A 15,131-nucleotide genomic window follows, 5' to 3' on the forward strand; every position below is an offset into this window, starting at 1 on the left:
CTGGCTATATTAGGTTTTGCCATTAAAAGTAATGGCAAAAATCTCAATTAATTATAGCATGCTGAGATGACAAGCATGTGGAAATGTATACATTTTTTCTGGCCACTCTCAATGGCAGAGAGGTTTTTTTTTAACTTTTATTTTAGGTTCAAGGGTACATGTGCAGGTATGTTATATAGGTAAACTCATGTCACGGGGGTTTGTTGTACGGATTATTTCATCGCCCAGGTACTAAGCCTAGTACCCAATAGATATTTTTCCTGATCCCATCCCCCTCCCACCTTCCACCCGCAAGTAGGCCCCAGTGTCTGTTGTTTCCCTCTTTGTGTCCATGAGTTCTCATCATTTAGCTCCCACTTATAAGTTAGAACACGTGGTATTTGGTTTACTGCATTACTCTGCTAAGGATGATGGCCTCCAGCTCCATCCATGTCCCTGCAAAGGACATGATCTCATGCTTTTTCATGGCTGCATGGTATTCCATGGTGTATGTTTAACACATTTTCTTTATCCAGTTCTACCATTGATGGGCATTTAGGTTGAGTCCATGTCTTTGCTATTGTGAATAGTGCTTCAGTGAACATTCACGTGCATGTGTCTCTATGATAGAATGATTTATATTCCTTTGGGTATATTCCCAGTAATGAAATTGCTGGGTCAAATGGCAGTTCTGTTTTTAGCTGTTTCAGGAATCGCCACACTGCTTTTCCACAGTGGTCGAAGTAATTCACACTCACACCAACAGTGCAAAGGCATTTTATTTTTTCTGCAACCTCACTAGCATCTGTTATTTTTGCCTTTTAGTAATAACCATTCTTTTTTTATTCTTTATTTTATTTATTTATTTATTTATTTATTTATTTATTTTTTGAGACAAAGTCTCGCCCTGTCGCCAGGCTGGAGTGCAGTGGCATGATCTCGGCTCACTGCAACCTCCGCCTCCCGGGTTCAAGTGATTCTCCTGCCTCAGCCTCCCGAGTAGCTGTGACTACAGGCGCATGCCACCATGCCCAACTAATTTTTGTATTTTCAATAGAGATGGGGTTTCACCATGTTGGCGAGGATGGTCTTGATCTCTTGAGTTTGTGATCCGCCCACCTTGGCCTCCCAAAATTCTGGGATTACAGGTGTGAGCCACTGCACCCGGTCCAGTAATAACCATTCTGACTGGTGTGAGATCATATCTCATTGTGGTTTTGATTTGCATTTTTCTAATGATCAGTGATACTGAGATTTTTTTCACATGCTTGTTGGCTGCATGTATGTCTTCTTTTCAAAAGTGTCTGTTCATGTCATTTGCCCACTTTTTAATTGTTAAAGTTACTTATAGATGCTGGATATTAGACCTTTGTCAGATGCATAGTTTGCAAAAATGGTCTCCCGTTCTGTAGGTTGTCTGTTTACTCTGTTAGTTTCTTTTGCTGTGCAGAAGCTAACAGAGAAGATTTTAATATTTTTTAAAATATTAAAAAATATTAAATATTTTTATTTAATATTGCTGGTAGTAGAATTTTGGTGACTAAGAAAGAAAAATAAGAGCCAGGAAGGTAATCGCCATACAAAATCATGTAGGCAACTATGTCTACTTCACCAACTCTGAAAAGTCCATTTTGGGTGCTTTAACATGTATTATACAATATGAAGACAATAGCAAGCAATATTTTATTGAGTACTTACTAAAAGCCAATTATTGTTATGAGCTAACTCCTGTTACCTCATTTAATCCTTAAGACAACCTGGCAAGGTCACTGGTATTGTCAGCATTTTGCAGAAGATGAGGCTCTGAGAGGTAAAGAAATGTAGACAAGGTTGCCCAGCTAATGAGGGGCAAAGGAGGAGTGCAAGTCCACAGATGCAGAATCTTCTCTTTCACCCCATGATGTAGGACAGCCATACCAGCAGTGACTTAAAACAACAGAGCATTTCAAGACATTTGTTTTTGGTTTGTAGTTTTTCTAATGTAATTTGATAACTAGCTAATCATACCAACACAAAAAAAGAAGGTATCTGGGTTTTAAATACTTTCTCCTCCCATTTGTCTTTCCGCTAAAACTCAAAAACAAAAAACAAAAACATCTTGTGTCAAACCACATTTCTTAGAATCTGCCAAAGTACTTGGCTCAGGTTTATGTTCTTTCCCAAAGCCAAATTACTCTGCTGTTTCCTCATCTTTACAAAGAATAAAAAACAACAGTGGTAGCTTCTTTTATTTCTCTTTACTCACTGTTTGTATGGGTTTTTTCCCTCCTAGACATGAATTTTAATTTTTTTAAGTAAACGAAATAACTGTTGACCAATCTCTTGCTTATCCTACTGTCAAAAAGTGGGCATTCTTTTCCCTGACTGGCTATAGCAAAAACAATAAGAGAATTTCTGCAGAAGTGATTACCTGGTACCTAGGAATTATTTGTCTTGCCTGTTCACCTGCTCTTCCTGTATCTGCTATTAGTGACTTTTCACCAAGGTGGCCTAAGTATTGTGGTTCAAACTCCAAGTTGCTATGGTGAGGATGCTTCTATTCTTTGCTACAGTTTCTTTATAATGCTTGCTCCTTACACATCCCATTCCTAGGATCTCAGATGTGATGGAAGATAGTTTAGGATATAGTTTAGATAGTTTAGGAAGACCCCATTGGTTTTGTGTGAAAGCGTGGAAACTTTCACAGTTTCCACACTTTCACACGAGGTCAAAAATGATTAACTACTGTTTCATAAGCCCACAGCACCTGAAACAAGGTCTGCTTGACACATAGTAGGCACTTGATAAGTGTCTGTTGAATAGGAAATGATGGTAGCTTGATTAAGATGTCAGCAGGAACATCAAAACAAGGCCAGGGCATCTGACTTGTGAAATGGGGAAGAAGAACTTATTACAGATTTATGACTTCGTATTTCCTAATTCCCTGTTTCATGGTTTGTATTTTGTGACAATTTTAGATCATGGATAGGCAAACTTTCTCTAAAGGGCCAGACAGTACATATTTTAGGCTTTGTAAGCCAATCATCTATGGTCCGTGTTGCAGTTACTTAACTCTGCAGTGTTAATGTGAAAGCAGCTCTAGACAATATGAAAATGAATGAGCATGGCTGTGCTCCAAAAATATTTTATTTACAAAAATAGCCTATAGGCTAGATTTGGTGGGAGAGCATGGTTTACCCATCCTTGATTTTAAGGGTGGAAATTTAATGGACCTCAGATCAAAAGATACTAGGTGAGTCAGCTTCCTGTCTTGAAACAAAATGAGCACATGTAAAAGTCTTTAGGCTTTGCCTTTGTAACCATTAATGTAGGTCAGTGGATTTGGCATGTAGGTAGAGGGTAGAGAGGTAAGGATTACATTCAGTAAGATCTGCTTATAATCTATTAGTTTAAGGTATTTATTTATTTATTTATTTTTATTTTTTGAAGATGAGGTCTTACTCTGTCACCCAGGCTGGAGTGTAGTGGCATGGTTATGGCTCACTTTAACGTCAAACTCCAGGGCTCAAGCAATCCTCCCACTTCAGTCTCCCAAGTAGCTGGGACTACAGGCACGCACCACCATGTGCAGCTAATTTTTAAATTATTTTGTAGAGATGGGGTTTCACTATGTTGCGCAGGCTGGTCTTGAATTCCTAGGCTCAAGTGATCCTCCCGCCTCAGCCTCTCAAAGTGCTGGGATCACAGGCATGAGCTACCACGCCCAGCTTAGTTTAAGACATTGATCATTAAGAATTTTTGCCCTTTGGCCCAGTAATTTTTCATCTCAGAGTATGTCATAAGAAATAATCAGCAATAAAGGCAAATATTTATGTACAGATGTTCAACACATATCATTTTAAATAAAAATTTAGGAATCATTTAAATGTTCAGCATTAGAGGAATGGTAAAGTCTATTATGATGTATTTACATAAAAATATGTATCTGTTACCAGCCTCCTCCCAGCATTTTTGTGGCCCAGGGCAAGAGGACACAGGGAGGCCTACTAATATATGTCTAAATATTTTAAAGTTATAAATCAAGCTAACAGACTGCTAAAGTACGTTTCATCCTTCTGCTTGGACAAATACGCCTTCTTAATGACCTGGAAGGCCAGGTTTAAATCCAGAATTCTCAGACTCTTTGGAATTCCCTGTTGGAATGTGGTGGCTTGAGGAGAGGCAGCCAGCCTGCTCCGCCTCCCAGCTCTGTTTCAGCCCCGCAGCAAGAGGAGCCTTACACAACCCGCACATCGAAGTCCATCAACACTCTGTGACCCGACCCTCCCCCCTGTGGGCCTGGGGTGCACACAGTGCTGTGCAGTCTGCCCTCGGGGATAGGCCTGAGGAAGGAGGCTAAGCAGCACCTTTTCATCGTGGCATTTCAGGACTCCAAGTACTGTGAGAATTGGTCTAGAAGGATGGCTCAGACTCTATGGAGATAACCTTTTTCTCTGTGTACCCGCCCATCACATGATGAGGAAAGGAGCCAGAGGAGGGCCACAGTGAGGCTGCTTTAAAACACAGGGTCCAGGGCAAGGGAGCATTTGCCTGGTTTTATTTTTTGTTTATTGTTTATTTTTTGATATAGGGTCTCATTCTGTCGCCAGGCTGGAGTACGTTGGCATTATTTATTGGCAAAAGTAGGGCATGAGCAATTTCCTTTTGTACCAATCTTTGTCTAAGTGGTAGAAGATAGATCTGGCTCAAATTATAAAAACTCAAAGAAGGTACAATGTTATATTAGAATACTCTTGAGGTTACAACTGAAATTTGTCTCCCAGATCTTTTTGTCTCTGCCAAATAGCAGTGACGCATTTCAAAGGCACCTGAAGAGATGAAGCTAGAATTAACAGGCAGAACATCAAGCACAGAGATGGTTATTCCTGTTTTATCCACATGCTTTTGTGCTCTTGGAACTTTCTGAGCTTGCCTTTTCCCATGTTACCTGGCTGTAAAAACCACTTCCTTGCTATTGGGCTGTTGCAAAAGATAATAGATAATAGTTTCAGAAGTTGTTTTAAGTTGTTGAAAATAAAGTATCTGTATAAATACAAAGTTGTATTGTCACCAGTGTTACCATGATTTATGACTATGTCTTTTTTTTTTTTTTTTTTTTTTGAGACGGAGTCTTGGTCTGTCGCCCAGGCTGGAGTGTGGCATGATCTTGGCTCACTGCAACCTCTGCCTCCCAGGTTCAAGCAATTCTCCCTGCCTCAGCCTCCGGAGTAGCTGGGATTACAGGCACGGGCCACCATGCCTGGCTAATTTTTGTATTTTTTAGTAGACACGGGGTTTCGTTGTGTTGGCCAGCTTGGTCACGAACTCCTGACCTCAGGTGATCCGCCTGCCTTGGCCTCCCAAAGTGCTGGGATTACAGGTGTAAGCCATCGCGTCTGGCCAGGAGTCTTCTTTTCTAATATATTTTTTTAAATCTCCTATCCAAGCGGGTGCCGTGTTACGTGCCTATAATCGCAGCTATGCAGGAGGATCCCTTCAGCCCGGAGGTTCAAGGCCAGCCTGGGCAACATAGTGAGACCTGTCTCTAAAAATCAATCAATGGATTAATCAATCAATTCAATCAAAAGATCCCCTATCTAAAGTTATACAATGTTAAAAAAAATTGCAAACTCATTATACAATAAGTTTGTGATTGTAGGCCTGGCGCAGTAGCTCACACATATAATCCCAGCACTTTGGGAGACAAAGGTGGGTAGATTACTTGAGCCCAGGAGTTCAAGACCAGCCTGGGCAACGTGGCGAAAATGTGCCTCTACAAAAAAAATACTAAAATTAGCCAGGCATGGTGGCATGCACCTGTAGTCCCAGCTACTCAGGAGGCTCAGGCAGGAGGATCACTTGAGCCCAGGAGGCAGAGGTTGTAGTGAGCCAAGATTGCACCACTGCACTCCAGCCTGGGCAACAGAGTGAGACCCTTTCTCAATCAATTAATCAATAAATGTGCAAGTATAAAAAAAATTTAGTTTATCAAGTATCTTTTATGTGACTAAGAAGTATGATCTGCTGCTCATTTTCCTCACAGCTATGAACTAAAAGCCAATGAGCTGACCTGCAGTCAGTTTCAGCTCTGCTGCTTACATCTGGGTAACCTCAGTCAAGTCCCCAATCCTGCTGATCTGTTTCCTCAGTTAGAAAATGAGGATAAATCTGCCAGGCACGGTGGCTCACACCTGTAATCCCAGCACTTTGGGAGGCCAAGGCGGGTGGATTGCCTGAGGTCAGGAGACCAGTCTGGCCAACATGGTGAAACCCCATCTCTGTTAAAAATACAAAAAAATTAGCCGGGTATGGTGGCATGTGCCTGTAATCCCAGCTACTCCGGAGGCTGAAGCAGGGGAATTGCTTGAACCAGGGAGGTGGAGGTTGCAGTGAGCTGAGATCATGCCACTGCACTCCAGCCTGGGCAACAGAGTGAGATTCCGTCAAAAAAAAAAAAAAAAAAAACAAAGAGAGAAAGAACAGAAAGAAAATGAGAATAGCCTCCTGGATTGGTGTAAGAGTTCAATGAGATGCTGCTGTGAAAATACCCATTTCAGAACTTGGTATGTAGAAAGTATTCAACAAATGTCTAGAGAATCTAAATCTGTTTGATCAGGCCACAGCAAAAGAAGGATGATAAGGATAAAAACAGCAAGTAATAGTAGACTAGTCCTTAAATTCAGATGAAAACCCCTGGTATCTTATAGGTTTTTCGGATTTTGTTTTTCTTTTCCTCCCAGGTGGGACCTTAAAGACTCTTCCTTATCCTTTCTTAATTCTTTTCATTATGTGCCTCTTAAAAATTGGTCTAGATTCTTCCAAGGATAATGCGATCTTCACAACAGGGCCCACATCTATGGGTCAAAACCCAGTCATAATTGGTCTGTACCTTCTAATATCTACAATTTTGAAAATTTTAAATAATGTAAATCCAGTGAGTATGAAACTCAGATACATTTTCATGCATATTCTATACTCTACCTTCCTAAAGAGGAAGTCACTGGTAAATATGCCAGTATAAGAAATGTATTCCAAAAACAATCTGTGAGATGTGTCAGACTCAGATTATAGTGACAGCTCTTTTAACCTTGTAGGAGTCACCAGGGCTCTCCTTCCCATATATAAAACATGCGTAACAGATGCCCACTGACCAAGAAGAGCTGGGAAAGTGAAGATCTGAAAGGAGGACTCAGAGGATCACAGGGTCGCTAACCAGTCATCCTGAAACACTGGTGTGAGTGAACAGTAGGAACTTTGTGGAAGCTGAGTGTGGCCTGCTCTGGAAGAAGGACTTCACCGCATGGAGAGGTCTATGGGGAGCTGCTTAGCCCCCGTGTAGCTGCCTCTGTGAATGCGCAGCCAGTAACTGGTGGTGGGCCTGGAGTCCCTCTTGGCCAACAGTCAGGAAGAAAACCTAGATGTGGAAGAGAGGAGAGCAAGAACAAGCAGATATCCATTCTGGCACCAGTGACCATTTGTCAGTTTTTAACTGAAGCAATATTCTAAGGGTAATGGCTGTTTCTTCACTTCCAGTTCCAAATCTCACGCCAACCTCTTCCATACCTACAAAGTCTAATTCAAAATCATACAGAGAAGGGGAAACATATTTCCTAGGTTAACCAAATTGACGAAGCCCAATCCTGCACATCCACTTTAACTCTTTCTTTCGGTTAACCAACCAATTGTAGATCCCAATCATGCCAAATTAAAAGGCTTTTCCTATTATTTATTCTCCTATCTACATTTCAAGTATGTTGATAAATGTTAGGAAATTATGCCGGAAGGCCCTATACTCTTATATTGTATTTTCAGAGTTAATAAACAAAAGTTAGAATGTTTTAGTTTTAGAATTAGTGTAATTAGCTGGATAGAATTTCCAATTTTAGTTACAGAGAAAAGTTAGTATGTTTTCCCTTTTTCTCAGAGATCTTAAAAAGGCAACTAGGAAAAAGAGAAACAGATGTTAAACCTCCAACTTAGACTTTGAAACATCTGAAACCCAAACTATAATGCATGAGCAGGCACTGCCAAATACAGTGAAAGTAAACCAGGGCATGGGTAGAGGCTTAGAGGGGAGAGCCCTGTGCTGAAGATCGGAGACAAAGCTGGCAGAACAGTTATGAAAGGAAAAGGAGCACCCTTAGAGGCAAAACCAATAATTTTTAGTTATGAACATTGAGAATAGGTGTGCAAACTAATGCAAGAGCTTCCCCAGAGCTGGTTTGGCCTAAAGAAAAAGCAAGGTGGTTGGAGCTAAATAAGGAATGCCCACAGAAATATCATTCGTATAAAGCAGTCTGTGGGTAAGGCATGGTAAAGGAAAGAGACTCAAATTTTTGAATAGGACTTTAACTTCCACTTCTCTTCTGATCAAGAAGTTAAAGCTAACACACACACAACATTGTGTCAAAGAGAGAATTCCTGCTAGCTCAAAATATGGTCCTAGTCTCAGTTCTACATGAATCTGCTATAAATTGCTGGTCCTAGAACTTGTCTCATTCAAGAATGAGTAATCAAAAAGGAAACTGCACAGAATATGTACAAAGTTACAACCAGAAAAAGGGAGAAAATTGGTAAATGAAGAATACTAACACCCACTAACAAGAAAAAAGGTTGCCTTAGAAGAGCATATAGAAATTGTCACCAAATAAGCCATACACTAAAATATATATATAAAATGTATGTATAAAATATTGTAATTACTGCTAAAAAACAAGAGCTTAAAGTGCAGATACAAGAGCTCAGGGACTATATGGCAAGTCAAATGAAAGATGAAATACAGTAAAGCTCAAGAAAACAGATTAGAAAAATAAAACTATTGGACCAGGCGTGATGGCTCACGCCTGTAATCCCAGCACTTTGGGAGGCCGAGATGGGTGGATCACGAGGTCAGGAGATTGAGACCATCCTGGCTAATACAGTGAAACCCCGTCTCTAGTAAAAATACAAAAAAAAATTAGCCGGGCGTAGTGGTGGGTGCATGTAGTCCCAGCTACTCAAGAGGCTGAGGCAGGAGAATGGCATGAACCCGGGAGGCGGAGCTTGCAGTGAGCTGAGATCGCGCCACTGCACTCCAGCCTGGGCAACAGAACGAGACTGTCTCAAAAAAAAAAAAAGAAAAAACTATTTTAGCAACAAAGGCCTTCCTAGAAGCAGCACAAAGGAAGAGAAACATTTTGAAACACAGTAAAGGACAGGAGGAGGATTGAAAAGAGAAAATGAAATGACAATGAAGAGTTCTTAAAAATTAGAGGAAAAATGATACATATGGAAAACAAGTCTGATATTTGCATAACTACTGTTCCTAAATAAGATGAAAAATATCAAAAATAATATTTAAAGATGTAACTTGGCCTGGTGCTCTGGCTAATGCCTGTAATTCCAGCACTTTGGGAGGCTGAGGCGGATGGATCACCTGAGGTCAGGAGGTCAAGCCCAGCCTGGCCAACATAGTGAAACCCTGTCTCTACTAAAAATACAAAAATTAGCCAGGCATGGTGGCATGCGCCTGTAATCCCAGCTACTCAGGAGGCCTGAGGCAGGAGAATCGCTTGAACCCGGGAGGTGGAGGTTTCAGTGAGCCAAGATCACATCACTATACTCCAGCCTGGGCGACAGAAGTCTCAAAAAATAAAATTAAATAAATAAAATAAAATCTTAAGAAACCTTATCAGAAACTAAAGAAATCTTCCATCAACAGATTGAAAATACTGTTTCCCAGTTTTTTAAAAAATGAAGGATAGGCCAGGCACGGTTGCTCACACCTGTAATCCCAGCACTTTGGGAGGCTGAGGCGGGTGAATCACCTCAGGTCAGGAGTTCAAGACCAGCCTCGCCAACATAGAGAAACCCCGTCTCTACTAAAAATACAAAAAAATTAGCTGGGCATGGTGGCGGGCACCTGTAATCCCAGCTACTTGGGAAGCTGAGGCAGGAGAATCACTTGAACCCGGGAGGCAGAGTTTGCAGTGAGCTGAGATTGCGCCATTGCACTCCAAGCCTGGGCGACACAGTGAGACTATGTCTCAAAAAAAACAAAAACAAAAAAAATGCTATGCCATTACTAAGTAGGGCTTCTGCTAGCAGTTCTAGAATTGTTCAAATAATTTGTGCATTAATGGAAAAAGCATGTCGTTATCTCCATAGATGTCAAAAGGGCACTTTATAAATTTAACATTTGTTCTTGGTTAAAATTTCCTTAAAAAAGTAACAAAAGATGGATGTTTCTTTTGCATGATACACAATATATCCAACCCCAAACCAGCGTCATGCTTAATGGGTAAATACTAGGAACATTCCACATAAGGATGTTCACTATTAGCAGCTTGATTTATCATCATTGTGGGCTATTGACAATAAAGTTCAAAAAAAATTAGAATAAGGAGGAGGTGAAATTATTATTTGCAGATGTGATTACCTCATAAACTCATGAAAATCGACTTTTGAAAAGCTATTATAAGCAGAATTCAGAAGGTGGCTGGATGTATAATTTAAATGTGAAAGTAAGTAGCGTATATGTATAAACAACTAACTAGAAGACAAACTAGAGGAAAATAAATCATTTAGATTAACAAGTAAAGGAAAAAAACAAAAAAGCTGGTATTAAATTTAAACAGAGGTATGCTTGATCTAGATTAGTGATTCTCAACTGGGGATGACTTTGCCACCCAGGGGACATCTAGCAATACCTAGAGACATTTTTTATTGTCTAATTTCAGTAGTGGTAGGTTGAGGAGCCTTGATCTAGGTAAAGAAAACTTTAAAATGCTACTTAGGACCACAAAAGAAGGCTAATCTGTGTTCTTGGATAAGAAGCTCCTAAATGGTAGAATACATAAAATTTTCCTAAATTGTTATATAAATACAATGAAATGTCAGTAAAAATAAAGTGAACCAGAAAAATTGATTCTCTAGTTCATATATAAAATTAAGCAAAAAATTCTAGAAAAATTCTGAATAAGAACAGTAGTAGTGTATAGAGAGTAATCCCTATCAGATGTTAAAACGTATCTAAAGCTATGATAAATATAACAGTGAACTAATTATAATAGACTCAAATACATACTAGAATTTAGGATATAATAGAGAAGACCTTTCAGACCAGAGGGGGAAAGATACATTATTTAGTAAACAGACTTAAGTTAATTGGATGCAATCTGGAAAAAAGTAAAATTAGGCCCATATTCCACATCTTAAACCAAAATAAATGAAAAATTAATTGAATATTTAAGTGTAAAACTTATGGTAGTAAACATGGGATTTTTTTTTTCTTAATCTTAGGACTTTTTAAGTTTGCATATAAAAGATTGTTAAGTTCAATACATAGAAATAAAAATTGTATTGGCTGGGCACAGTGGCTCACACCTGTAATCTCAGCACTTTGGGAGGCCAAGTCAGGCAGATTGCTTGAGCTCAGGAGTTCAAGACCAGCCTGGGCAACAAGGCAAGACCCCACCTCTACTAGAAATATTTTTTAAATAGCGGGATGTGGTGGTGTGTGCCTGTGGTCCCAGCCGCTTGGGAGGCTGAGGTGGGAGGATTGCTTGAGCCCGGGGTTAAGGAGGTTGCAGTGAGCCGAGATTGCACCATGTACCCCAGCCTGGGTGACAGAGTGAGACCCTGTCTCAAAAATGAAATAAAAAATCAAAATTGAATAATATAAGTTAAAGTCAGAAGACAAAAGAGTAACTGGAAAAATATTTGTAACTGATACTACAGACAAAGGGCTAATTATCCTGACTTTGTGAAGAGTCCTTCTATATCAACCAACAAAAAATGGAAAAATGAATAAAGAATATGAACAGACATTTCACAGAAAAGCTATAAATGGCTCTTAAACTTGAAAGCATGCTTAGCCTCACTCAAAATAAGAGGAATACAAATTAAAACTGCAGTGAGCTACTACTGGTTTTCTTCAATTAAATAATCAAACTTCTAAGATGGGCATAGTACCTGTGGCTACTCCAAACGTTGAGGTGGGAGGATCTTTTTGAGAGGCCAGAGTTCGAGGCTGTTGTGCACTATGATACCACCTATACATTGCCACTGCACTCCAGCCTGGGTATCATAGCAAGACCCCATCTCTAAAAATTTTTTTTTTAAATCAAAGTTCTGAAAGTTAGGATAACATTCCATGGGTGAAGGTGTGATGAAGAGGTGCTCTCACACATTGTTGGTGGGATTATAAATTAATATAATTTCTGTGGACAGTAATTTAGTAACTTCTATCAAACTTTTAGAGGCACAGAAGTAATTCAGGAATCAAAAACCAAATACAGCGTGTACTCACTTACAAGTGGAAACTAACCTATGGATACACAGAGGCATACAGAGTGGTATAATGGACATTGGAGATTCTGAAGGGAGAAGGATGGGAGGGGGATGAGGGATGGAAAATTACCTGTTGGGTATTTGATTACTTTTAGATACTGTTTCCAGTCACTGGGAATTCCAGTCAGTGACTCCCAGATAGAGAAGTTGTTACTATATTTGAATTGTTGGAAAATTTGGGCATGTACTTATGGTTCTTAACTAATAATATTTAATAAAATATGCTCAGCACATAGATGGCCAATTCACACTTACCGAATCTAACTGAAGCAGTACTGTATTGTCCTATTATCACAAATAAGGATAAAAGCTGTGTTCAAGAGCTTAGTTTGTGGGAGTTTGGGTGCAGATGTACTCCCTATTTCTATGGTATAATTTGGCTGTTGGGGAAAAGATAAATCTTGATTAAATATGAAAGGCATTTTTATATGAGAAAATAACAGATAAATGGAAATTCTAGGTAACTGGGAATTTTTGTCTCTGTCAAAATCAACCAGAAAACTTTTTTGTTTTAATCTTTATCATTAAAAAATGCTTCTGGCCGGGTGTGGTGGCTAATGCCTGTAATCCCAGCACTTTGGGAGGCTGAGGCAGGCAGATCACAGGTCAGGAGATCGAGAACATCCTGGCTAACACGGTGAAACCCCGTCTCTACTAAAAATACAAAAAATTAGCCAGGCATGGCGGCATGTGCCTGTAGTCCCAGCTGCTGGGGAGGCTGAGGCAGGAGAATGGCATGAACCCAGGAGGTGGAGCTTGCAGTAAGCCGAGATCGTGCCACTGCACTCCAGCCTGGGCGACAGAGCGAGACTCTGTCTCAAAAAACAAACAAACAAACAAAATGCTTCTAAGGAGAATTACTCTACTTTTCTGCTGTAGAAGGAAACCATATTTGTCATAAGTTAATTGCTGCATATGAGGACTCCTTCTGGTCCTGGAGTCACAGTCCTCAGAAGCAGTTCCGTATGGCATGGGTGTAGATTCTGGTAATTTAATACCCAGGATTGCCTTTTCATTGCTCTCAAGACACTTAACTGGAATTTCAGAAAGATTTTAAGTAAAACTACTGGTAGAAGTCTGTTTTATTGATCTTTTCCTTATTTTATGTCAAGTTTAGACACAATTTTAGTTTTTGAGCTTCCTAATGACACTGAAGTCTCTTTGGTAGAGAAATCCCAAGTCTTATCTAATTCTGTCCAGTTAGGCTAGGGAATTTGTCTTAGAGATTATGAAGAGAGCGTTTTTGTGGACATGAACCTTCTAGTCTGAAGCTTTTTGGTAAAATGTTAGTTATAATAAGTTGATCCAGATTAGCAGCATTATCTACAATTCTTCTCCACCTTTGGGAGACAAATAACCAAGTATCTGCTACATTTTTTCTTGTACATCTCTTCTATGCTCGAATCCAACAGAAATTGAACTGAATGAAATAATGGCCACACTGCTCAATACTATATGGCAGAGAATATGGTCATGCTGACTTGTTGTGAAGGTACAGGTATATATTTTTTTTATGTCATTTAGTAAATTATAATAAACTAGGGCCTGTTGCGGTAGCTCACATACGTAATCCCAGCGCTGTGGGAGGCTGAGGCAAGAGGATCACTTGGGCCCAGGAGTTTGAGACAAACCTGGGCAACAGAGGGAGACCCCATCTCTACAAAAAGTAAAAAATTAGCCGGGTGAGGTGGTGCATGCCTGTAGTCCCAGCTACTCAGAGAGCTGAGGTGGGAGGATCAGTTGAGCCTAGAGGTTGAGGCTGCAGTGAGCCGTGAATTATGCCACTGCCCTCCAGCCTGGGTGACAGAGCAAGACCTTGTCTCAAAAAAAAAAAAAAAAAAAAAAAAAAAAAGTCCCATGTCCCAGACTACGGGGTTCACATGCGCAAAAACATTCTCTTTATAATCTCTATGACAAATTCCCTAGCCTAATTGGACAGAAGTAGATAAGACTTGGGATTTTTCTACCAAAGAGATTGGTGTCATGAGGAAGCTCAAAAACTAAAATTGTGTCTAAACTTTACATAATGTATATAATAAATTAGGAAAGTCTAAATAAAACTATTTACCAAATGTCCCCAAGCAGGGAATTGGTTAATAAATGATGGTACTTTCATACTGTAGGATTCAAACAGTCTTCAAAGATTTGTTCATAGTTGTTTTTAGCATATGAAAATATCATAAATTGATACATGGAAAAAAGAACAGTGTGTATAATATGATACCCACGTTTTTGCGAGAAATTACACACACACATGCAAAAACAAAAAAAAAGTTCATATAGAAAAAAATGTTAAAAGGAGTTGATTTTGTTAGGATTAGGTTTGGCAATAAGTAACAAAGAGCTAAGAAATAGTAGATTAAATAAAATAGAATTTATTTCTCTCTTTTAGGAAGTCCCAAGGGAGGCAATCTAGGTCCAAGATGGTGTCAGGGACCCAGGCTTTTTCTGTCTTTAGATCCCCAACATTCCTACAGACACCGATAGCCGGTCGCTGGGGCTCCAGGCATCCTGTCTACAGTCCTCCCCGACTCTCAGCAGTAATTTTATATTCTTTTTATAAAAGTGAACCTGTTGGATGATCATGTCTTTTAGTGAATAAACCAAGTTGCTTTTCACTAAAGCATCATGTTAATTTTGTTTACATTTGTAACACTTTAGTTCATTGTTAATACAAATCATTTTTAATCTGATATAATAGATACATGTAAAACAATAACATGAGAATAAGACTGCTACTGCCTTCTGAAAAGTTCTCTTTGACCTGGATCTCTATTAAACTCATCGTTAAACAAGTTCTTCCCATTTAGAAACTTCCCGAGCTGTTAAATAGAAGTATTAAC

General features: G+C 39.5%; 1 protein-coding gene across 24 annotated transcripts in view; it reads left to right on the forward strand.

Annotated features, from left to right (window-relative positions):
- The window catches only part of GREB1L (GREB1 like retinoic acid receptor coactivator), a 283,881-nt gene that overhangs the window by 69,471 nt on the left and 199,279 nt on the right, over positions 1–15,131 (forward strand). The gene's annotated exons all lie outside the window — the stretch shown is intronic.

The sequence above is a fragment of the Homo sapiens genome, chromosome 18, assembly GCF_000001405.40.
Source record: "Homo sapiens chromosome 18, GRCh38.p14 Primary Assembly".
In the NCBI taxonomy this organism is placed as follows: domain Eukaryota; kingdom Metazoa; phylum Chordata; class Mammalia; order Primates; family Hominidae; genus Homo; species Homo sapiens.